This window comes from Homo sapiens, chromosome 1, assembly GCF_000001405.40.
Source record: "Homo sapiens chromosome 1, GRCh38.p14 Primary Assembly".
NCBI lineage: Eukaryota > Metazoa > Chordata > Mammalia > Primates > Hominidae > Homo > Homo sapiens.
The window spans coordinates 76,582,056-76,608,114 of record NC_000001.11 but is presented as its reverse complement, the minus strand read 5'-3'; the positions used below and the strand labels follow the sequence as shown (position 1 = coordinate 76,608,114).

At 38.8% G+C, this 26,059-nt stretch overlaps 1 protein-coding gene and 2 long non-coding RNA genes across 13 annotated transcripts in view; 2 read left to right on the top strand and 1 right to left on the bottom strand.

The window, feature by feature from the left end:
• ST6GALNAC3 (ST6 N-acetylgalactosaminide alpha-2,6-sialyltransferase 3) overlaps positions 1-26,059 on the bottom strand; it is a 562,594-nt gene that overhangs the window by 29,225 nt on the left and 507,310 nt on the right. The window lies entirely within an intron of this gene.
• LOC124904201 (uncharacterized) lies at positions 4,980-17,906 on the top strand. The gene is made up of 3 exons (XR_007066175.1): positions 4,980-5,064; positions 17,556-17,646; positions 17,829-17,906. It is a non-coding gene; the product is annotated as an uncharacterized LOC124904201 (long non-coding RNA).
• LOC105378807 (uncharacterized) lies at positions 17,899-20,037 on the top strand. The gene is made up of 3 exons (XR_001738108.2): positions 17,899-17,981; positions 18,632-18,684; positions 19,974-20,037. It is a non-coding gene; the product is annotated as an uncharacterized LOC105378807 (long non-coding RNA).

Sequence of the window (26,059 nt, the reverse complement as noted above, 5' to 3'; positions counted from 1 at the left end):
TTTTGTAATGAAATTGTACTTCATATGAGGCAGGACACTAAAGCTTTGGGTAGAAAACCACATTTTAGTTGGAGTCTGTCACAGGCCTATGAAAACTTCCGTTTGTGTGGACTGATTGGCTCATCTCAGTAGTTTAAAAGAAACTGTCACCTAGCAGCAGGCTGGCTGCCAAAGATAGTATAGCTGCAAAAGATAAGAGCTGCAAATGCTACATTTGGTTGGGGCAATCATGGGGCCATATAATGTACAGGACTGCTGAGTCAGAATCAGAGCTGCAGATTATGGCTGTGTAGCGTGTCCCCTACACACAGGTACTGGGCTACGGGGTGGGTAGAGACTGGAAGTGTGTGTGGCCTGAAATCCTGTTTGTATAAGACTTGCACTTTGGTTCTGTCTCCATCAACCCAGAGGAAGAAATACTATGATATTGTGATGTACTAAGAAATAAACATTTGATCTTTGTCCCAAATCCCCGGCAGAGAGGTCCTAAAATTCTTGTAATTTCCTGAGTGATAGGGACGATAGGAACATCTTTTGTTACAATATTTGGCCTTAGTCCCTAGTTTCTGATACAAGCACTTCGAAGACCCTTGGAATCTCCAGAGTAATATGAATGCCTAGTGGATGGGCTCCCTAGACAGCTTCAGGATAGGGCTAGTTGCCAGGGGAACCAATTATATGATTACAGTATTGGAACTTTCAGCCTCATCCCCAGTGTAAGGGGATAGGAGAGAAGCTCAAGATTGAGCTCAACCATCAATGGCCATTAATTTAATAAATTCTACCTACATAATGGAACCACCATAAAACCTCTAAACAATGGTGTTCCAAGAACTTCTGGGTTGGTGAACATGTGAAAGTTTTGGAAGGGTGGTGGACCCGGAGAGGGCATACAGCTCCCGTTCTCACATCCTTTGCCCTTGGATCTCTTCCATTTGGCTGTTCCTGAGTTGTATCCTTTATAGTAAACCAGCAATGGTGAATAAACTGCTTTCCTAAGTGCTGTGAGCCATTCTAGCAAATTATCCAACCCAAGGAGGAAGTAGTAAGCACCCCTGATTTATTGTTGGTTGGTCAGAAATTATGAGAGGCCCAGGTCTGCAACTGGCATTTGAAGTGTAGGGCAGTCTTATGGGACTGAGGCCTTTACCTGTGTGGTCTATGCTAACTCTGGGTAGCTAGTGTCAGAACTGTGGTGGGTTGTAGGAGACCCAGCTGGTGTTGGAGAATCGGTCGGCATGAAAAAAAAAAAAAAAAACCCACACATTTGGTGTCCAGAATTGTTGTTAAGTATAGAGAAACATTTTTTTCTTTCAGTTGCCTTTTAGTAATACCTCACCTAGAAGGACCTCCTTTTCTTTTTTTCTTTTTTTTTTCACTCTTTTCATTTTATTTTAAGCTCTGGGGTACATGTGCAGGACATGCAGGTTTGTTACATAGGTAAATGTGTGCCATGGGGGTTTACTATACCTACTAACCCATCACCTAGGTATTAAGCCCAGCATGTGTTAGCTATTTCTGCTGATGCTCTCCCTCCTCCCCCTCCACCCTCTGACAGGACCCAGTATGGGTTGTTTCCCTCCCTGTGTCCATGTCCTCATTGTTCAGCTCCCACTTATAAGTGAGAACATGTGGTATTTGCTTTTCTGTTCCTGCATTAGTTTGCTGAGGATAATGGCTTCCAGCTCCATTCATGTCCCTGCAAGGGACATGATCTCATTCCTTGTTATGGCTTCATACTATTCCATGTTGTATATGTACCATATATTCTTTATCCAGTCTGTCATTGATGGGCATTTGAGTTGACTTCATGTCTTTGCTATTGTGAATGGTGCTGCAATGAACATATGCATGCCTCTATCTTTATAAAGAATAATTTATATTTATTTGGGTATATACCCAGTAATGGGATTGCTGGGTCAAATGGCTTTTCTGGTTCTAGGTCTTTGAGGAATCACCCCACTGTCTTCCACAATGGTTGAACTAAGTTACATTCCCAACAAGAGTGTAAAAGCGTTCCTATTTCTCCACAGCCTCACTAGCATCTGTTGTTTCTTGATGTTTTAATAATTGCCACTCTGACTGGCATGAGATAGTGGTATCTCATTGTGGTTTTAATTTGCATTTCTCTTAATGATCAGTGATGTTGAACTGTTTTTTACATGGTTTTTGGCCACATAAAAGTCTTCTTTTGAGAAATGTCTGTTCATGTCCTTTGCCCATCCTTTTTTTTTTTTTTTTTTTTTTTTTTTTATGGAGTCTCCCTCTATTACCCAGGATGGAGTGCAGTGGCACAATCTCGGCTCACTGCAACCTCTGCCACTTGGGTTCAAGTGATTCTCCTGCCTCAGCCTCCTAAGTAGCTGGAATTACAGGCGTCCATCACCACACCCAGCTAACTTTTGTATTTTTAGTAGTAACGGGGTTTCGCCATGTTGGCCAGGCTGGTCTTGAACTCCTGACTTCAGGTGATCCACCCGCCTTGGCCTCTGAAAGTGCTGAGATTACAGGAGTGAGCCACTGTGCCCAGCCCTTTGCTCACTTTTTAATGGGGTTGTTTGTTTTTTTTTCTTGTAAATTTGTTTAAGTTCCTTGTAGACTCTGGATATTAGACCTTTGTCAGATAGAAAGATTGCAAAAAATTTCTCCCATTTTGTAGGTTGTCTGTTTGCTCTGATGATAGTTTCTTTTGCAGAATCATCTTTTTCTATTGTACACAAAGTTTAGGGTTATGACAGTACTGGCCCTTATGATAATCAAGACTTTCTGTAGTCAATTCACCACTAGTTCAGAAGCAGAGACAAAGAGAAATTGTCAAGACTCCGTAGCTGTCTCTGTCCCTCTTCATCCAACAAGCAAACTCCTACTCATACGTTAATACTCAGAAATATCATCTTCTATCAACATCTGATGGTCACTTCCTTTTCTAAACTACCAAAAATCTGTTGGCCCTCCATGTATAACCTAACACGTTGTACTGTCTATCACCTTAACAGGCTGTCTATCACCTGTATAGAGTCTCTGGAGGCTCTCCATACAGGAAAAATAACAGAACATGTTATTTCATGTTAACAAGAAATAACATGATTAGATGCTTATGTTAATACTATGTGAATTATGAACTGCATATGGGAAATATTGGTGACAGAATGACCCAATTAAGACAAAATAAAGCTGGAAACTAAGATGTGACAAAGGATTAGAGAAAATAAAGATCTCTAATCCTCAAGCCAAGGAACACTCCTGAAAAATGGCAAAATAAATGCAAGAAGATGCAAGAGTCCAATTAAAGTGATTTCTAATTTGAAAACAAGACGGGATGGTGACACCATGATGAAAATGGAGAATCCAGAGACCAAGTTATTTTAGGATGTGAAGTAACAGAGTCTGGTTTGGATGTGTTAAATCTGAAATGTCTGTGGGATCATAGCTTGAGAAATTCCAATATGAATTTAGAGTATGAGTCTGGAAAAGTGAGGTCTGAATAGAGAGATCTTGAAATGATCAGATTATAGATTGCAGAGGAGGCAAAGAGATTGAGAAGAGAAGAGGAACAGGAATGAGCCTAAGGAACACTAACATTTGAGGTGTGAGCAGAGGGAAAAGAGCCAAAGAATGAGATGAACATTGTCAGAGATGTCATTTGAGGCAGGATTTTCTTAGACCTTGCAAGAGATTTCATTTATAGATTCTCTACATCTCTCATAGAGAATACTTAAGTTTTCATTAATATTTGAATTTTCAAGATGGAAAAAATAATCTAGCAGCCATATTAGGTGCTTACTTACGAATTTCTAAGAGGGGGTATAGTATCTTGCATTCCTGAACACATTTGATTACAGAACCTTTAACGTCTGGTGTTTCACAGAACATATTCTAGAGATAACTGCATTGTTTTGGTAATCTTGTGTTCTTTATGTACAGAGGTTAAACTGACAGATTCATTATAATAAAGTACTTCTTACCTATTAAAAATGAAACACTAACTTTATTTTTTTTCCCATTTTTCAAATATTCAACCATTCTTTCAAAGGACTGCGACTTTGCAAGGCCCAGCCAATTCTGTATGTAGTTCAGAGTGAAGGTCACAAGATTTATATATTTAAACTAAATGTGTTATGTTTTAGACCAACACCAAATTTTCTTCTATATACTTGGCTTTTCATTCCCCTTTTAATTTTTGCCTTGATTTGCATTTATTATGAAATATTTCATATATATGAAGGACTATAGGTAATGTGTTCATAGGCCCATAGAATAATAAACGACCAAGCTTAAGAAATAGAGCATTAGCTGTGCCTGTAGTCCCAGCTAATCAGGGGACTGAGGTGGAAGGACTGCCTGAGCTCAGGAGTTCCAGGCTGTAGTGAGCTGTGATTGTGCCACTGCACTCTAGCCTGGGTGACAGAGTGAGACTTCATCTCTAAAAAAATTTAAAAATGAGTAAATAAAACAGACAGAGCATTGTCCATTCAGACACATTCCAATCCTCTTTCTCCCTGGCAGGAGTAACTGTTATTTTAGTTTTTGGATTATTCAATATTTTTCAACGTCATTTTACTGTGCATGTACGTGTCCATGAACAAAATATTTGGTTTTGTGAGTTTTTCACCTTTACATAAACGGCATCATTTTGTATGTATTCCTGTGATTTGTCTTTTTCATTCAATATTTTGTTTGTGAGATCCATCTCTGTTAATGCTTATGGCTGCAGTTCATTCATTTTTTTACTACCATAGTAAAATCCATTTATGCATTCATAACAATTTATTTAGCCACCCTTCTGTCAATGGATATTTGAGATGATTCCAGTTTTCCTTTTCCTTTTGCAAACATTACCTCTGTAAACATTCACACACCTGTACTAGTGCTTCTCTAGGGAAATATCTAGGAGTAGAATTGTTAGGTAGAAAGGTAAGCAAATGTTCAACTACAAGGTAATTCCAAATTGTTTTCCAAGGGATTGGGACCAATTTATACTCCTATCGACAGCATATAAGAGCTCCTGCTGCTCTTCGTCTTCAGTAGTACTTATATTTTCAGACTAAAATTTTTGCCAATCTGGTGAGTGTAAAGTGATATTTAATTTTGCTTTGAATTTGCATTGCTCTGATTACTAATGAGGTTGATAATCTTTTCAGATGTTTATTAGCTATTCATGTTTCTTCTTCTGTGAAATGCCTCTTCAGGTTATTGCATATTTTTTTGCAATGGATCGTTTGTCTTTTCTTTAATTTTTTTTTTAGGTGTGCTTTATGCTACTCTTGTTTGTATGTGTTATAATTATTTCCTCCTACTGTGGCTTGTGTGTTTGCTTTTTATCTCAGAAACATTGCATTTTAACTTAAAATTAATCAATTAATCAAATTGGTTAAATTAAAAAACCAATACATTAATTTATTAATTAATAAAATTAAAAATAAATTAGTAAAAGTAATCAAATGCATCCATCTTTTCTCTTACTGTTTGTGCTTTGGGGGCTGTTTTTCAGAAATCAATCCCTAACTTGCTATCAAATTTAAGATTTTTTTTTAACGAGCATATTTTCTTTGTCTTACAACTTAGAATTACAAATCTATTATTTAGTATTATTATACTGTACTAACAAATTACAAACAAAACGGTTTGGGAGTTCTCAAGCTTACTTTTCTGCCTTTCCTGCTCCTATTCCCCATTCCCCTTCCTGGTCCCTCCTTAGACTGATCCACTTAAACACTTTTTTCACCCACCCACACTCACTTATGATCTTCTTCTACATGCACAGGCACACGCACATGCACACGCACACACACACGTGCGCGCATGAACACACGTTCTTGACCCTTTTCTCCTCTCTCCACATCACCAGTTCTGCCTCCCCACTGACACATTCCCCATTCGTAACTCAGGTGAACCTACCCTGTCAGACTTGCACACTGAAACTCATTCCTATGTGTACATGCAATCCTTAACCAAGCTGTCTGTAGTTAGGCCTCTCAGTTTTGTCAAATCTTTTTCTTTATTCTTGAAGTCCCATTAACATCCTCCCTCACTCACATGGTGATCTCATCCCTTACTTTGCAAAGCAATTAGAGACTATTTCAGAGTCTCTAAATGTCTTCCTCCCAGTCTTCCCCTCCTTCCTTGAACTTGTCTGCATTTGCTACGTTTTCATTCATTTGGTTAGAAGGATACCTTCCTCGCCATCCAGGACCCAGTATTGGATTTTGCTCTGTCTACTTCTAGCAGGACTTCCTCTTAACTGCTTTGAAATCTCTCCTTTCCTTGCTCTCAACTGGTCATGTTCAGCACTGCCTGTGCTAGTCTCTTTATCTCCTTTCCCATTCCTTACTCATTCCAGTGCAAAAGGCTTCTTCCCCCTTCTTAGTCTCTAGATCGCTGATTCCAAATGGTTTCCTTCAGGAAATCTACCTTTGAACCCTGGCTTGGCCACTGACTGGTTGTTTACTCCTTGTAAATGCGAATTATTATCCCTACCTCATTAGGTTGTTGTGAGGGTTAATGAAATACAGCATAGAACTTGGAATTTAGCTTCAGGCCAGCACTTGGTAGGAGTTCTATAGGTTTAAATTTTCTTTCTTTATCCTTCAATTTAATTTCCTCTTCTTTAATCCTCTCTTTCAACTTTGAAAAATAAATTCCTTTACTTCCGGAGCTAATGATTTATGTAGTTTTACCCTTTAATTTTCTCTTTTTGGAAACCAAGACCCAAGTCCTAATTCCTTTATTCATCTGAAAATAACTACATACTTCCATCAAATTACATTACTCATTTCATTTAACTTATCCAGTTACATTCCAAAAAATACTAGAAAATAAAGAGCAAAAATAACAAAAATTAGTGAAATTTAGTTTGCTATTTTCCTGAAATAGAATACTTTCCTTCCTTTCTTCCTTCCTTCCTTCCTTCTTTGTTTTTGACAGAATCTTGCTCTATAGCCCTGACTGGAGTGCAGTGGCATGATCTCAGCTCACTGTAAACCTCCACTTCCCAGGTCAAATGATCCTTTCACCTTAGCCTCCTGAGTATCTGGGACTACAGGCAAGCACCACCATGCCTGGCTAATTTTTGTATTTATTTATTTATTTTTGTAGAGATGGAGTCTTACCTCACCATGTTGCCCAGGCTGGTCTCAAACTCTGGGCTAAAGCCATCCACCCACCTCAGCCTCCCAAACTGTTGGGATTACAGGCGTGAGTGACCATGCCCCACCAAAAGGGAATATTTTTTAGGTGGCATCTTGGCCTCAATATATCTTGTTCATTTCCAGGAAATTTTTTGATGAAATAACATTTGGAAAAATACATTAGATAAATGGCTTCTGAAGTAGTGTCCTAATCTAGTTATTAAAGCCAATCCATATTCATAAGTTGAAAGCTGGCAAAAGTATTGCTTTGATGCATTTATTTTATAATAACCTTGACATGTTTTAAAACGTACAAGACAGACGTCTTCAAGACATAGCACAATGCACTCTCAGCACAGTGACATAACCACAGGGTTGGAATAGATTTATACACTGGATGAGGTGGAGACTGGCATGCATTCAGATCCTAGACTTTTTTGGAGGGGAATGAGCAGAGGACAATGAGCAGGGTCCTGTCTTATCAGTTCTTGTGTCCCTAGTCCCCAGCACAATGTAAGTACTCAGTGAAGGCTGGATGGAGTGAATAATAGGGGTGGGGTTGAAATTTGACTTTTCACTTGGGAAAGGTGAAGGCGGTCCCATTTCCAGACTAGTCTAACTTTCTTAGTCAATTTGGGTTGCTATAATAAAATACCATAAACTGGGTGACTTAGAAACAACAGAAACTCATTTTCCACAGTTCTGGAGGCTGGAAGTCTGAGATGACGGTGCCTACATGGTTGAGTCCTGGTGAGAGCCCTCTTCTGTGTATAGACTGTGACTCTTATTGTATCCTCACATGGTGGAGAGCAGAGAGGGGAAGCAAGCTCTCTCATGACTCTAGAGGCACTAATCCCAATCGTGAGGACCCCACGCTCATGAACTCTTCCAATCCTAATTACCTCCCAAAGGCCTCACTTCCTGATACTACCACAGTAGGGAGGCAAGATTTTAATATAAGAATGTTAAGGGTACACAAACATTCAGTCCGTAACATCTATCTTAAAATAACTTTTGTTCTAAAATAGATTTTAAGGGCTACCTATTTTTCTTCTCACCAGGTCAGTTTCCCAGCTGCAGAGAACAAACACAGCACATAGGATATAAAATTGTATATTCTGAAAATTGTGTGTGAATAATCATAACCTCATTGATATGCATCACCCAAAACAATAAATTGTGATGGAGAATGGAAGTATTTATCTATATTTTCTGAGCAACATTACACACACACACACACACACACACACACACACACACACACACACACGATACGGTAGTGGGAGGAATAAAATAATCAAACAACGAATTTTACTAGAATTACTTGGATATTCCAGGTATTTCATCCATCTAGATTGAATTAAACTTGATTTTTCACATGTAGACACAGCACTTTGCTCCTTTCATCATGAAATATTTAATCTCACAGGAACAGAAAACCAAACACCGCATGTTCTCACTCATAAGGGGGAGTTGAACAATAAGAACACATGGACACGGGGAACATCACACACTGGGGCCTGTCGGAGGGTGGGGGGCAAGGGGAGGGAGAGCATTGGGACAAATACCTAATGCATGTGGGGCTTAAAACCTAGATAATGGGTGGATGGGTGCAGAAAACCACCATGCCACATGTATACTTAGGTAACAAACCTGCACGTTCTGCATATGTATCCCAGAACTTAAAGTATAATTAAAAAAGTTTAATCTACAACAGTTCCCTTATAATAACCTCATACTCTAAAACTAAAAAAAAAACACAAAATCTTACATAAATATTCCAATTATTTGTATACATAAGAAAATTACAAGAGAGAATTTATTTTAATGTGAACAGATAATGAAAAATAAATGAGAAGTATTAATGGCATTCTTCTATCAAACTTATGAAAATCAACAATTATCAAAATGTCTGTAAGAAAAAAGCAATGCAATGAACCTACAACCATGAAAAAAGAAGCAAATAATATTAATAAAGTAGATTACTTTTGAAAAATAAATATTTCAATACTCTTAAGTTTCATCGTTATTTTCTCTTTCCATGAAAAGCATAGAAATGCAGTGAGAATTAGTTAGACATGTTTAGATTTTACATATTTTTGTCAGAAATTTATTTTTATATAAGTTTAGGAAGAAGCATATGGTAGACATTGGTACTACTGAAGAAATGCCCTAATCAGTCCTCTTAAACACAGTGAAAAGAATCATTTTCTTTCTGTCTAACGGAGGCTTACCATTTTTTTTTTTTTAATTTGTGAAGCATTTATGGCAGAAGTGAGCAGTGAAGATCTGTGCTTGTCTACAAGGCACATCTGAATCACGAATATAGAAGACATCAGTAGAAGGATTAGTGGAGGCTTGGAAGGTATTTTACTTTTTCCCATCATTGAAGAAAGATAGATACAAAAGGTTTTTTGTTCCAGAGAGATTGAAATCAGATTAGAATTCATATTTCTTTCCCAAGAGATCGAAATCAGTTTAAGTTCTGAATCTGTAAGCAACATTTTGCAAAACATTTCTATCTCTCAGCTATATTCCAGTCCTTGCTTTGGTACCTGGGGGCAGCTCAACCTTCTGAAAGCGATGGAGGCTGTGAGATGGATGGAAGTACATAAGTGCATGGGATCCCTGCTCTCCTGGAGTCTGACTGGCACGTGCTCAGGAAGAATTCACCATCTTGGTTGCAAAAACATCTGGTTATGGCTATAGGCTGAATGTTTATATCTCCCACAAATTCATATGTTGTCGTGATGGTGTTTGGAGCTGGGCCCTTTGGGAGGTCATTAGGCTGTGAGAGTGGAGCCCTCATGAATAGGATTAGTGCCCTTCTAAAAGAGATCTCAGGGAGCTCTCTTACCCCTTATACCATGGAAGGGCACAGCAAGAAGATGCTGTCTGTGAACTAAGAAGCAGGTCCTCACCAGAGAATCTGCAGATAACCTAATCTTGGTATTCCCGGCCTGCAGAACTGTGAGTAATAAACTTTTGGTGTTTAGGACACCCAGTCTATAGTATTTTTGTTATTTTTGTTTTAGTGCCCCAAATAAACGAAGACAGTTATACATAATTAAACTCGGCCTGGATGACTGAAATCAGGGCCTGGCGGAGAGGAGACATCCCAGACAGAGCCAAGAGCATGGATGAAAGCATCACATTAGGAATGATTCATTGGAAACGGTGTAGACCCCAGAGCTCCAATTCCAGCTTTGATGCTTTTCACCCATTACTCTTCATATAATCACTATAAAAAACAGAAGCTCTCTACTTAGGTGTACTTTTGGTTTTCAAAAGCCACCTAGAAGTGCATTTGCTTGTTAAGTCCAAAGTAACCAATTTTTGAACTTCTTTGACTATCATTGACTTTGCAACAAGTATCACAAGCAGAAACACTCAATGATTAAATACTGGAATGAAAAACTTGTGGGGAAGTAGAACAAAGAGTCTCTAGATAAAGTATCTGGGAGGCGATTCCAAAATTCTGGACAGGGTTTGGTACATTTTTCACATCACCTTGGGGGTTAGGATTTCAACTTATGAATTTTTGGGGGCACAGGCATTCAGATCTTAGCGTTGTGTGTATGTCTGGGCTGTGTGGGGGAGAATCTTAAGTTATAGGTGGCTGTAGATCCCACTAACAAGGGAAGGAAACTCACCACTGTCATTACCAGGACCCAGCAAGCGACATATACTTACTGAAATAAATATATGGTAAGCAAGCAACATATATTTACTGAGTAAATAAGTGAGATTATTCAAAATGAATGATTAGTAAAAGTGGAATTCCTCGGCTCTCTGTTATTTTGTTAGTTTCTCCCTACTCTCCAAAAGTTCTGGATGAGAGTGTCATTAGCAAGCTTCCTAACATTGATCAACGGGGAAGCTACTCAGTAGAAAGATGCCTGGCATCCCCTCTGGTTTATGCTTTTAGACTCAGACTAAACTATGGATTTTCTTCCCTTTTATGAATGTCCCCAGAAATCTTTTATGCTAGTAAATCTCTCTGAAAACACAGCAGTAGTTAGTGAGAAGGGAAAAAAGAAATCTTTAAAACCATCTCTTAAAATGAACTCAAGGATAATTATAAGCTCACAAGTATAAACATGTTCAATCAAAATTGAATTCAGGTCTAAAGAGACTAACTAATAGCATCCCATCCATCTCTTTGTGTGTGGAAACTCAGACAATCCCAGCTGGTCAAGAGTATGATCCATTGATAGCAACAGTTACTGCAAATGTTCTGACATAGGAAATGTAGAGAAAAGTCCCAGGCTGATATTATTTCAATTTTATTATGGCTTAACAGAACTAGCCATTCACTTGTTAGCAATCCCTACCTCAATATATGTTGCTTTATTTCCCGAAATGAGATGCTGGGTTAAATTCTTTAAATAAAAAAATTGATAGCTGCCATTATTTCTGACGAAGATCAGAATACAAGAAAATACAAATTTGTCTACATTACATTTCCTGTAGTTAGAAGTGAGTGCTTATCCAAGAAGAAATTATTTTCAGTTAATACTAAACTACACTTTATATCTTTTTTCTGATTTATGCTCACCTTCCCTTTCTAGGATACCTATTGAGCAACTACTATGTGCCAGAATTGTGTTAAAAGCTGAGGCTATTTCACATAAACAAGACATGATCTCGGCCTCGGAAACCAACTGTCTAACTGGAGAGACAGGCACTGAAAAAATAATTATAATTCTACATGATAAGTAAAATAAAAGAGGCATGACTACGTTATTAGGTAGGAAGTAATTAATTCTGCTTGAGTGCAAAGGGGAAACAAAGCTAAAGCAGGAGGTCGAAGAGTTTTCTAGCAGTCTTCCAGGCTTCATGTTAATACACAAGGTCCACATTTCATATGTTTGTCTGAATTAAAGAGATAAATTCTGCATTTTCCAATGCAGTGGTTCCCAGCCTTGGCCGCGCATTATAGTCACCTGGGGAGCTTATAAAAAGATGGGATGAGGGGACTGCACAGATCAATTAAAGCTGCATCCCCTGAGTAAAACTCAGTCACTGCTACTCAAAAGCAATTTCCCCAGCTGGTTCTAATCATGTCTCCAGGCCTGAGAACAACTTCTTCATAATAAACAACTACAGGACACCCCCATTGCCCTAAGTCAAGTGGGCCATTATTTGGTGGGGAGGGTAAAAGAGAGATCAAATCTATATATCCTTAAAAAGAAAGTTTAAGAAATATGCAAATGTTTAAAATCTATAACTTCACTTTTATATATGTAACTGCAATGTAAAAATCAAATCCAAAATGGCCGTGTGTGTGTGTGTGTGCGTGTGTATGATGTTATTGATAGTTATTGACAGTGCATTGAAAATTACACATCAGTATGTAGACCTGAAGGTTAGTATATGCTAAAGACTTTGAGGTTTCAGGGACTTGAAATGATTCTTGTCCACTATCCTGAGTGTTTTCTGAACATTTTAAGTGTGCAATCGATTAAGCTTAGAATATAACACCAGTTAAACATTGCAGGAGATCAGTCAGAGTGGTGGGAGAAATTACAGGGAAAGGGTGCAAACCTTCTGAAAGGTCAGAAGGCTCTGCATAGCTTTGGGGGAGAATAAGCTGAGGGCAGCTGTTCTCTTACCCTGAGGCAGAGGGCAAGGAGTAGGTACAAGGAAGTGTAGGGGAATTTAGCGTAAACAGGCTTGTTTACTTATGTTAACCAGGAACTGACCTTTGACCATGCCAGCACAAGACTGCTCCCTGAAAGGAGGAACAATAATGTTAATTACCCACAGATTGTGTTGGCTTCAGGCTTTCGGCATTATGTCTGTACTAAACAAAAGCAAGGAGCCCCAGCTTATCGAGACTGTTCACTCTTCAGCAGTCCCCTAGCTGCTCTTACACTGTATACCTGTGTCTGAGTACCCCTTTCATCCATTGCTCGGCCAGGGTCTGCAGGACATACCTGGCAAAACAGCTCTCCTTTTTTTGAAAAACTAAGACAATTTCAATGAAATTTGAACTTTGGTTAATAATAATGTAATGTATCAATGTGACAAATGAAAAATATTAATGTAAAATGCTAATAATAGGGAAAACAGGATGTGGGATACAGTGCAACACTATCTATACTATGATCAATTACCTCCTTGGAAAGGCTGTAGACAGATGAGGAATGGTGTATTATATTCTCTTATATATCTAGACATATCTGTTGAGTGGTCACATAAATAAAATCAAGAATCAGCATTGCAATAGGTACTCATTCAGGCTAATTAAGTGGTAACATAGTTTATTGAAAGATGATCAAAGAGGTTAAAGAGCCCAAAGGAGCAGCTTTATCTATTGTCTATGTATTTATCTATCTACATCTATCTATTCTATCACCTAGCTAGCTAGCTAGCTAATCTATGCATCCATTCATCCATCCATCTATTTATCTATTGTTATTTAGTTTTCCTTTAGGAGGAGAAAATATCCGAATGTAATTAAGAATAACTTATTACACAGTTAAATTTGTTAACACACATCCTCTGAAAACAGAGGAACAAGAGGGTATTAGAGACCTTTGGTTCTTTAGAAGGTATTGAAAGTCAATATAGGTATTGAGATAAGGGACAAACATGTTTCTAAGAGCAGGCTATAACCTTTAAAGAGTTGGGTAGATGAGGTGTATTCTTCTTTTCTGTTTATTCATGAACAATTTTGCAGATGGAAATAAAAGAATGTCATATTTGTAATATTGACTGATGAGACTGCTATGTCTCTAAAAAAAATAGTTCTGGATATGTAGAAATAGCTTCATTTTTTGTTAGTATTTTTTACGTTTATACTCCTAAAAAAAGCATATTTATTTCCACGAGCCATGACTAAAATCACATAGTCATATGACTGGATTTCAGCAGTCACTGAAAGTTATCCCCTAAGCCCTGTTCAGAGCCATGTTCAAAGCCAGTCCAGGGGCTCCATGCTGACTAAATAAGGGGAGAAGGGGCAGCACAAGGGCCCCCTTCCACCCTGGGGTCTTTCTCATGCTACTTGTGATGGGCTCTGTGGGAATCGTAGTAATCCTCAGAGATTCTATTAATGAGTAGGTGGCTTATTTCAAATGAGTAGGTCTCCCTCCTCTGCCATCCCTGTTCCTATGATCGCCACATCAGTATGCTTCTTACATCATACTGAAACCATTTGTTTACAGGCCTGTGTTCCCACTAGATGCCAGTGTGAGTGCTTTGAAAGCAGAGACTGGGTCCCATTTATCTTTGATTTTCCAACAAGTATCACAAGGAGTAGGCACTCAAAAATTAATTATTGGAGTGAAAACAAACTTTGGGGAAAGTAGAGTAAAGAATTTCAGATAAAGTGTCTGAGAAGCAATTCTAACACTCTTGATCGGGTGTGGTACATTCTTTACCAAAGAGAAAATTTATGAAAGCACTTTAGAAAGATGCTTGATAAAACCTCTTTTTATTCTGCCACATTCAATTTCTCAAAATTCTGCCCTGTCCAAGGCCATCAGAGCTTTCTGAATCTCTTTTCTATCTTAGGCAAATGCTTATTTCCAAGGGTTCACCATGCCAAGATTGTGTTATCTAATGTGGGCATTCAGAACTCTAGGTAGGTGCTAATAACCTTGTTGCTATTAAGGATACCAGATTAAAAATTAACAATGTAATCACAGAAAATTCCAGAGATAACATCACAATTAGGTCTTCAAAACAACACAGTTCTTTACAGAATCTTCCTTTGCTTCTGTACTGCATTTTGTTTGATAAGCACTTGCCAACAAAGACATCATACTAATTACAATTTGTCATACAAAGGGTAGGAAAACTGATAAATGATTCATTGATTATTTTCTTTATGAAATAATTCTTCTGTTCTTGTCCTCATGTTACATTTGGATAACAAATGGAGGCTTTAAGTGCCTTCTCAAGGAGTTATTTAGAAAAAATCATGTTTTCAGTATTAATTCTTAGCAACTGTGAGTGCATATACATTAAACAAAAAAAAAAGGAGGACAAAATGAGTATTTCTGGTTCTTTGTATGTGGAAAAGAATTCCCCTTTTAAAAGTGGATTTGTATAAAATAGTCTTTGGCTTCTCTGTAAGATTTTTCACTCCCCACCATTCCAAGTTATGTAAGGCACACATCCTCTCCTCTGCGTCCCCAAATGCTATGCTAGAGAAGGCAAGATGTCTCTTGGCATTTATTCTGGTTTTCTTGTCCTGAAAAGGTCAATACCTGATATGATAGCTAGTTTGTCAAGGGAGAACGGCTGAGCAAGAGCAGGAATTTGGGCAGTGGGGAAATGTGAGCCAGTCCACAGGGCCCTCAGTGAGTAGGAAGGAGTGACCAGGAAGTCTGAGGTGAAGAGGAGTGGGCGGTGATAGAGCCAGGGTCAGGGGCTCCAAATGCTTTCTGGGTGCCTTCTCTTCTCTGTTTTCTCCTGGGAAGCAATTTTATGATTCCCAAATCTGTATAAGACGCCCAGTGGTCTCTCCATCAGGACAGTTCCCTCATGCATACACCCATGCACCTTATCCATACCATGCCCCAAAGTGATCTTGCATTTTCTCAACCCTTTTCTCATTTCTGTATTCCCATCTCAATGAATGGTGTCAGCAGTCATGTAGGCCAGAAACATTTCTTCATCACCCCGTCTCTTTGTTCTTCCTTAATCCCATGTATTCTTGATGGATTTTACTTCAAAATGTTTCTGAAATGCATTCTTTCCATCTTCCTTCCCTCCAAACCTCATCATCTCTGTTCTGGACAAGTATAATCTCTTCTTGACGATCTCTCTGGCTTAAGTCTTTTCTCCCACTTTTCCATCCCCTAAACTGCTGACACAGTGAGTTTTCTATAAAGCAAAGCTGATTATGTCATTCTCCTTGATTAAAAGGCTTCAGTTGCTTTCCATCACTTAAACTAGGGAATCAAATCTGGGATTCTTCACCTTACATAAGAACATCTTCACAATTTTATCTCTCTTTACATTTCTGGCCACTTCTCTGCAGGTTGACCCTTTACTTGCATGCTATGTTTGATCCACTCAGAATAACTCACAGAACTTCTTTCCGTGCCAATTGTAAATTAGATAGATATTTATTATTGAGGTATGACATGCCAGGCACTCTTCTTCTAGGTCCTAGGGACATAGATGAGGTGCCCTAGTACATGTTCTTCTGGAACGTCCTTCTTAGGCTTCCTTTAAATTCTGCTCACATATGACCTCCTCTGTGTAGTCTTCATGGCCCTCCCAGGTAGAGGCAGCCAGGCCATTTTCCATGCTACAAGAATTTATTACCTCACATACACAACTCTGATGTGGCATAATACAAATATGTGTCTTCTTATCTCTTTCCCTCACTCAACTGAGGGTTAAAGTCCTAGACAGAGCCTGTGTCTTATTCATCTTTATCCTCAGTGTTTAGGGTAATGCAAGGCATGAAGCAGGTGCCTGATAAATATATAAATATTTTCTGAATGAATGATAATATGTGCCCATGATGTATGTCCAGGATAAATCTGCATCATACACACTTGCCCTGGGCTCTCTGGAAAAAATACAGGCACATCATCAGAGGACCCTCCACCACACACACACCTAATGTCAAAGTAATTCCCCAGACTTTTGAATCAAAATAAAATTTATTTAGCTGAAAATAAAAGATAAACATAACTGGAAGGGAGGCTAACAGTGGTTGCCTCAGGGTGGTGAATTTCCAGAGGAAACCTGGGTATATATGCCAGCTATTCCCTTTGCCTGAAATGTCCACTCCAGCCCCTACACACACATACACACAGAGACACACACACACACACACATACGCACACAGCCTGGTTAACTCTTACCAATCTTTCATATCTCCTTTGTATTTCTTTAGGGAACCTTTCCTAACCTTTATCATCACAGATTAAGTGCAGTCTCCTGTCATGTATTCTTAGAGCATCAAATATCTTCCTTTAGTAGCTTTTATCTAGCTATAATTACACTTATTTATATTATTCTTTGATTAATTTCTATTTCTTTTTCCAAACCATAAGTTCAACAGGGCAAGCTCCATGTATGTTACACAGGAGACTCTCAATGCATATTTATTGAATAATAATCAAATGAATCATCTACTTTAATATTCATAATAACCAACCAAGGTGAGCCCTGTTATCATATGCACTTTCCAGAGAAAATGGACACAAGTACAATTAAGTAACTTGCCCAAGATCCCACAGTTAGGGATGAAACAGTGAGGCAGTTACTGGCTTTCTGCATGCTGGTTTCCTGTATCACAGAGAACTAATTTAGAGCTATTTTAAAAATTTACAACTTTAAATAAATGAGTTCAGCTTTATTATTCACATTGAATGCCTAAGAAAATTATTAATTTTAAATATGGGTTTAAAAAAATGAGTACATCCATAGAGAGTTTGTCTTTGTTTGCTCTCTCAGCTCTGATTGGAAGTAAGTCAGTATTAGCAGTGTTGTTAAAATCTCCACCATGAAGATCCATGTGGGTGCTTGGAGTCTTACAATAGAAAAGGTAAGCTTATTTCCTTTTCTAATATATGGTTCTTGTTTAATTCCAAGTGTGTGTTTGAAATATTTTTAAAAAGTAATCTGATATTTGCAATTTACTGAAACATCTGACAACTGGGTATTGAAGAATTTATTGTTGCATTATTTGAGAGCCTTCCTAAAATTCTAATCCCATTTTTCTTACAGAATGAATGCATTCCTTCATATTAAAAGACACTAAAAAGTAATGGCAGATGAAATGTGGTCACGTTGAGCAGCTGCTCAGAACCTCAGTAAAGTATGGGTCTTGATTACAAAGAGAGATCTATGGATCCCAGTTGATGGGGAGCAGAAACACAGGTACATCTTAAGTATAGAGGTCCTCAAGGGTACAACTTGGCTGTACTGAGCACATTTTCAAGGCCACTTGCCAATCCTGCTCTTAAATGCCATTGAACCTGGCCAGAATTAATTAAGATGCATCCCCAGTTTGTAGGATACTTAGCCCATTGAAAGAGAAGGTGACGCTGAATAAAAAATGGATTACGAGAGCAGAACTGGAGCCCTCCTCCCACCTCTCAGGGAGAATGTAAGGACGATTGTTGATCCCTACTTCCCAAGTTTGGTATGGACAAAAACTAGATGCATGAAGGGGTGCTGGGTATCAAGGAAGAATTGCTTTCTAACTCATTAGGTATCTGAATGCCCAGTTCATCTGCTTGTAGTGGGATCTTGCTATTTGCAAAGCTTATTTAAGCTACCCTTAGAACAAGTCAGTATTTCTATTCCCTTTCTTTCAGATGGATTCTCTTAATATTACTCAAGTAGCCAAGCAGTTAGGAGTAGAGCTCTGAGGAGTCAGTTCCCCCACCTGACATGTTGCATCATATTAATGCTGAATTTCAGACATGAATTATTTTAACGGCCCATTTTATAAGCCATTCATTGTCTGAATTCTTATAAGAATTACCAAGTTTTATTCTTTAACCACTTAATACATTTTTTTTCAGCTCAGAAGGGGATTGTGGAAAGCTGGTCAGGGCACGTTTGTCCTGTGGGCCAGGTAGATTCCTTTACACCAGGGTGCTGGGAAGGTCTGTTGGTTAGAAATGAGACTTATGTCAGGAAGCACAAGGTGAAGGTAAAATTTAGTTCAGGGTTATTCTTTTTAACCTGGGAAAGTGCATGATTTTTGCAAACTGCTGTAAAAGTACTTGTCATGTGAAATAGTTTAGCCCTAATGAAAACTCCCCAGAATAACAAATAAGGAGATATTTGCAAATGGCATGAAATATCAGAAACCAAAGCAGTGTTTTGCTGTGATGAAATGTCTTAGTACATTATTTATGCATTTTTGTTTTTATTCAGAGCCGCACAGAGACATAGCTGTTTAAATACATTAACTTTCCCATTCTACTAATTCATTGAGCAGAATAGATTCAAATCACCAGTGTATCAGTCAGGATCTACACAGGAAATAAAAACTACTCTAAGTGCTTTAAACAGAGAAAATTTAATACTTGGAATTGGTTACATAGATGATAAATGACCTGAAAAGCTAATCAGGGACAGAGGAGGCAATTCAAAGATATATAAGAACAGGAAGCCACTGCTTCTAGGATGTGGTATTTCCAGAAACCAGTTACTCAGGCTGGAACAAGTGGAGCCTAGTGGCTGCCTGGCAGAAGCTGGGACCATGAAGGAAAGGGATGTCTACTGGGAGTGGAGCCACAGAAGACACAGCTTCTTCCTGCTGGAAATGCCTCCCCAAGGCAGAGGGAGAAATACGGTGACTTCTCCCCTTTCCTCATCCTACAGTTTTCTGCTAGTACCCGTGATTGTCAAAACTACTAGAAGCTAGTTGTCAAGGGAGCCCCCAAATGGTGTTTCCTGTGATTGACAGCAGAGTAGAGGAAGGGAGGGAAATGGATTTAAGGATACACAGGCAAATGGCCAATTAGCACACGCACTGATTTACAGTATCCTGTCCATGGCAAATATCAAGTGCATTACTTTTGTGCTATTAGTTTTGAAGTTCAATTCACTTCTTCTTTTCCTTAGCTTATATTTCTGAGCAACTTTGATTCACCCATCCCTTGTGTTCTACGTAGCACAAAGACACTGGAGTTTTCTGTGGTAGAAAAGCAGAAACCAAGAAAACATGAAAGGGAGGAGATAGGTGGGGAAGGGATCATACACTTTATTTGGATATGGCTACATTAAAAAAAAAACTAGGTAGAATGCTTTATTTTTTTTAAGTGATATTTCTTTGGACAGGCCCTATTTAAACAAACAAACAAAAAAACTACCTGTGGCTACTAAGCATTCACTGGGTCTATCATTCTCTTTTAGGATGTCTTTAGGGGAATATGCAGTACAAAGAGGAATGGGATCTAGGCTGAGATCTGGTCTGGTCAGGAGCAGACTGGCTGCCGGTAAAAATGGAAAAGAAGAAACATGTGCTCTGTATGTTCATCATCCCTGTTTCCCACCTTCCTCTCCTTTGGATTTATGCCAGGTCTCCCAGGGATAGGTCCCCTAGTGCCCTCTTTACTCTCCTCAAGGCCTGGTGGATCCTAACCGATGGATGTTTATGGAGAACTGGTGCTGCCACAGCCAGTAGCAGGACCTGTCTACACCTGTTGGTAACCTGAGCGTCCCACTCACCAATCCCAGCCTTCAGGCTTTTCCACCCACATGCCACGTCTCTTGATCCATTGGAAGTCATTAGATCAGATTTGAACTGCCTGAGGGACAGGCTCTCCTTTTAAATTCCATTTATCAAGAGCCATTACGTGCCCAGAACTTGACGGGATGCTTTTCCTGGATTATCATATTTAATCCTCACACCAACATCAGGTTACAGATGAAGAGACCAATTTAGAGATTAAATAATTTTCCCAAGGTCACTCAACCAGTAAGCCTAGAAGTGGGATTTGGACCTGATTCGTTGTGTGCAAGCATATGCTGCATCACACTGCCCAGGGCCAGGACGGGCAGCAGAATGCAGCCTCCTCCACATGTTCGCCGGACTCTCAGCATCTAGAGAACTTTGCCCGTCAGCCAGGCATCTCAAAGCCACAGTCACAGCTCTGGACACACAGGCGCTGAGGAGAACTGATCGAGCAGTAATGTCTCCATGGGGACCAGCCAGTCAGCAACAGTGTACACACTCACTGTGTACTGACCAGGACTCAGACAATATGTTCTGCCAATCCCTGGACTCCTAATTAGCCTTCCACCTCCCAAAGTGAGTCGGTGTCATGTTATCAAACACGTCTCTTTCCTTGTCTCCTCTCATTTAAGGGACTGTAGCTAGCTCCTACAGCTTATTCTGTACTACCCATCAGGACTAATATAAAGTCATTCTAAGAATAATCCACCCAAACTGGCCTTCATATCTGGTGTCTGGAATATAGCAGAAATCTTTTCATTCAGTGTTAAAGCATTGCATCATCCAACGAACTGACTGCAAATGGACACACAGTCTAACTTAAAGGTTATGGATCAGTAGGTAAATGCAAAAATTCTATTAGTTTTCAGACCTGGGGTTTATGACATTCATTTAAAATGAAATCAAAATCCTGTACAGAAATAGGAAAGGCACCATGGATAGATTCACTTTTAACAGCATCCACTTGGCTATTACACAAGGGCCAAGAAGACCATAGTTTCTATATCATGTAGTTACTTTTTATTCCTGTTCACTGACTTTGACAAAGACGGTAAATAGCATGCAGAGAATAGATACATTTTGAAGAAATATTAAAACACTGATTAATGTCACATTAAGAAGTGTAAAGTCCCTTGGGTAGAGGGAGAAAAATTAAAATGCCTTTGGTTCTTAATGAAACTGCACCAGGCTTACATAAATCTAAAATCCTTACTTTAACCTGAGTTTAAAATAATGGGCTAACTTGACAGTGCTTTACAAATCCTAGCAATGAACATTATCATTTATTACCAGAATGAGTGATAATAGGAGTAGGAGAGAGATAGTGCATATTGGGAAGTGTCCAAAGAGTTTAGCAAGACAATATTTCTTTTTCACAACACAAAGATAAAACAGTCGTAAAACTGAGAGTTCATTTCATTCACTTGGAGGAGAAGGGCAGGTGGGTGTTCTAGTTAAGCAGATTGCAACCCTCTTCTATAGGAATGTAAAGGAGAATGAAGAAACACAAGAGGTAATATTCACTCCGCAGTGCAAGAAGGTCCATGGATTTAAAGTCCATCACAGTAATTAAATTTCAATGTTGACACAGTACATCTCAACATTCAGACTTCTAAATATAGTTTATACAGTGCCTGTGAGCAAAATGCAATGCACATGAATATTTATCTCTGTAGTGAAGCTGCTTCTGCCACATGCTCTGAAAAGAAGGGTTGAGATTAGGACAGACCAAAACAGAGTCCACAGAATTTGATGATAATCATTTCAAAGTAGTTGAAATGAGCCCGTGGCCTCGTCAGAAGCAGTAATTTTAAGCATTTTTGGTTGTAGAACCCTTTTCACAAATGAAATCTAATTAGAAACTAAATATTTGAAATGGATTGAAGTGAGATAGGTTAGTTGATTTTTGCAGGTGGCAGGGTATTCCAGGCCAGTGACTTCTCAATGCCACAGACTTTGAGATGCATAATCTAAAGCTATTCTTTTAAGCAATAAATAAGTAAAATAAAAATCCACTGGGTATTTGATTGATTTTAAGGTACTGACAGATGGTAGAGAGCTATGTATTTCTAAGGAAGGGCTTATGGAATGGGTTGGTTATGATAGGGAAGAGCAATAAGATTAGATGAAATGAATGCTAAAATAAATGTTATTCACTTTCTGCCACATGAAGATACTGTTTTCTTTCATATTATTCCTGGGCCCTCAACTGTGGATCTGGTTCCAGCATGAACTGTGCATCTACTCTGTGTTTGCCCTTCCACCCAGTGTGTCCAACTATGCCTTGGAGGTGGTGTCTGCGCTTAGGCTCTCGCCTCTCTGGAAGCGCCTGGGACTGCAAGGTGTTGTTCTTCCTCTTATGCCTAACATGTTTCTCCACCCTCAGCCCTGATTTCCTTAAGAATATTTATAGTTTTTTTTTTTTTTCTTTTTTGAGAAGGAGTCTCACTCTGTCACCCAGACTGGAGTGCAGTGGCATGATCTTAGCTCACTGCAACCTCCACTGCCCAAGTTCAAGAGATTCTCCTGTCTCAGCCCCCCAAGTAGCTGGGATGACAGGTGCGTGCCACCATGCCCGGCTGATTTTTTGTTTTCTTAGTAGAGATGGGGTTTCACCATGTTGGCCAGGATGGTCTCGAACTCCTGACCTCAGGTGATCCGCCTGCCTCGGCCTCCAAAATTGCTGGGAATACAGGCGTGAGCCACTGCGCCCGGCCAAGAATATTTATAATTTTTTAGTCAGCTTAGGTTACACATGCTGTGGTAACAATCCCAAGTCCTCAAGGACTTAGCTTATTTCTTGCTAGTACTGCTTTATCATAATGGGCTGGGTAGATGTCTTCTTCACTCTGGGACCCAGGCTAACACTCATATTTGGGATATTGCTGGCCTCGTGACAGAGAAAAAGCCCCATGTGGCAATATATTACATAAGGCCTCTGAAATTTTCTGCTGGGAAGTAGCGTATATCATTTCTTTCCACATACCATCGGACAAAATAGGTCAATTGGCCTTTGAGAAAGCTCAATTCAACCATTTCAGCTAAGTTTCTTTTGTTGCATGATTTCAGTGGTGGATACCATATTTCTTTAGAGCTAGCATGACTCATGCCAGTTTCCATTGAGAGCCAGAAGTAGGATTCCTTATATGTTTCTCTTTTAGATCTTGTTTCTCCTATTAGAATTGCTTACTAAGTAATTTCATATCTGAAGCTGCTGCTAGCATTTAAGATATTGGAAAATCAGAGATACCTAATGCATCCTGAACAAAAATATTGCTATGCCTTAATGCTGCTGACTCTCCCAAGAGGATGTTTTCCTGGAACCCTACAATTATGAAATCATGGCTTTAAAAAACATTTTCTGTACACATTAAGATTGACAGACATGATTTGCAGCAGGAGGAATTGGGCTTTGCATCACAGATGCTTATTAGTGAATTCATGGATCAACAGGCTTACAACATATTCATTCATTCAGCGTTTATTCTGAACCAAGCAAGCACTGTTTCAGATCAAATCCTGCTGTCATGTAGTTTACAAATACAATCCAACCTGGGATAGATATTTGACATTATAAATGACATGTTCAACATCTGACATCATCCCAACTGCTCCACTGATCCCAGCTCCACCATTTACTAACTATAAGACCTTGGGCAAGTTATCCAGCTTCTATAATACTCCCCATGCAAAAGATAGGGATAATAAAAGCAACTACCTCATAGGTTTGTGGTGAGGATTTCCTGAAATAGTGAAAAGCACTTAATTGTGCCTGGAGCTAAGCAAGTGCCCAATAAACATTAGTCATGGTCCTCATTACCACCATGATCAGATTACATATTAGAGTGGTGGTGAGGAACAGAATTGGGCTTTGTAGACTTTTACCTGAAAAAAATATGGAGATCTTTGTTGAAGAAGCTTAAGATGGGTCAACATTGTTATGTAGCTGTTTAAAAAGCTAAAGTCACCTTAAGTAGTTGATGAAAAATGTCATATTGTAGGAAAATTAATTCTACTTCAGTCTTCTCTGATCAAAATTTACCTAGAATATGGAAATATGATTGTGGTGTGGGACACTCATTTCTGAAAAAGAAAGAGTAGCTAGTATATCTGCATCACACAGCGTCCTAAGCACATAGTTCCTGTAAAGATGAGTTCCTGGCATTATACAGCGGCAGGCACTCTTTCATTTTTGTTAAATCATTATACAGTGGCAGGCACTCTTTCATTTTTGTTAAATCACTAGAAGTCATGACATAATTCAACCTTAGTTTCTTCTTCTAGGAATTTTTCAAACAACTGTTGGGCAATCCTACAGGGATGTTTTATAATGCCCTTCAGAATGTCAAAAGGACTTATACCAATCCCTAATTTCCTGCTGATCTTTACCATCTGTTACTTTGACCTTTTCATCAAAGGCTTCTCAAACTGCTGGAAGCCCTGCATGTCAATAGCCAGTGGAATATTCTTCCTGGGTTTCATTGCCTCAGTCTCAGCACTATCACTTGCATACATTTTGTCGGCCATTATGGTTTCAAACAGTTCACTAGAACACAAAAATATAGGGCAGAAAGAAAGGCTCCTGAGGGGTACATAACAAACATTGCTGAAGACTTTCAACTGAGTATGGTACAATAGAGTATTCACTGGCTGAGAACATTTGCCATATGGGGCACAAACATTTGCTGCCTGACAGCATCCGGTATAGTCTCCCAAATCAGCTCTCATTGGCTCAGAGTATGCTGGCACTCTGAGTATCTGAAAAATTATATATTAACAGTTTGCACTAATAAATTGTTCTATAGATAATTCTTTTGAGAAACTATTACATACGCAAATAGTATTTTAACAACCCAGTCTGCAGGGGCAGTATTAAATGGTACATGGGTTCAAATTTAGTAGTACTTTAAGAGAAATAGAAATAAAGTATTGTCTGCTTAGAAGATAACCACATGATGAGAGAAATAGGAAAGAGTCAAAGCAACTAGGAGTGTGAACATCCAAAAGAAAACACAATTCACTTGAAAACTACTTCCAAGCAAAAAGGAAAGCTGACTTGCTGTGTTCCGGAGGGCAGAAGGGAGAACAAAAACTGGGTAATAAGAAAGCATATTTTTGTTCCGCTTGAGAAAATATTTTTAATACTTAATACTGTCCCAAAAAAGGAATAGTTTACATTCTGTGATAATGAACTCCTTGTCAGTAGAGGTAGTAAATGTGGATGACCATTTGTTAAGGGATTTATGCATTGAGTGGTGTGGTGGTTTATAAACAGTGGCCACAAACTCTTTGACATTCCTTCTATAGAGATATCTATGTACCCTCCTCTTAAATCTACATGGGATTGTAATTGCTTTAATTAATTAAGGATGAGGAAGTGACACTATGTGATTTCCAAGGCTGGGTCATGAAAGTCTATCCGATGTCCACCTGATTTCTTGGAATGCTTGCTTTTCAGATGCTCTGTCTCAGAACCCAGCCACCAAGTTGTTATAAATCCAAGCCACATGGAAAGACTGCCTGTGGGAGGCACAACTCAAACTAGGTTTGAACTTTCATTTATATCCATTGTGTCACTGGAAAAATTAGAAATAAATTAAGTTCTACTAAAATCTAATATCCTAATTGTCTACGGCACCATCATTCATCTGCACGTCAGAGTCAACATGTGAAATCTTCTCTTTGAGTACTGTGCAACATATTCTGAATAAAATGGTCTAGTCAAACTGGTTTATATATGTATTATATTATTTAGTTTCAACTT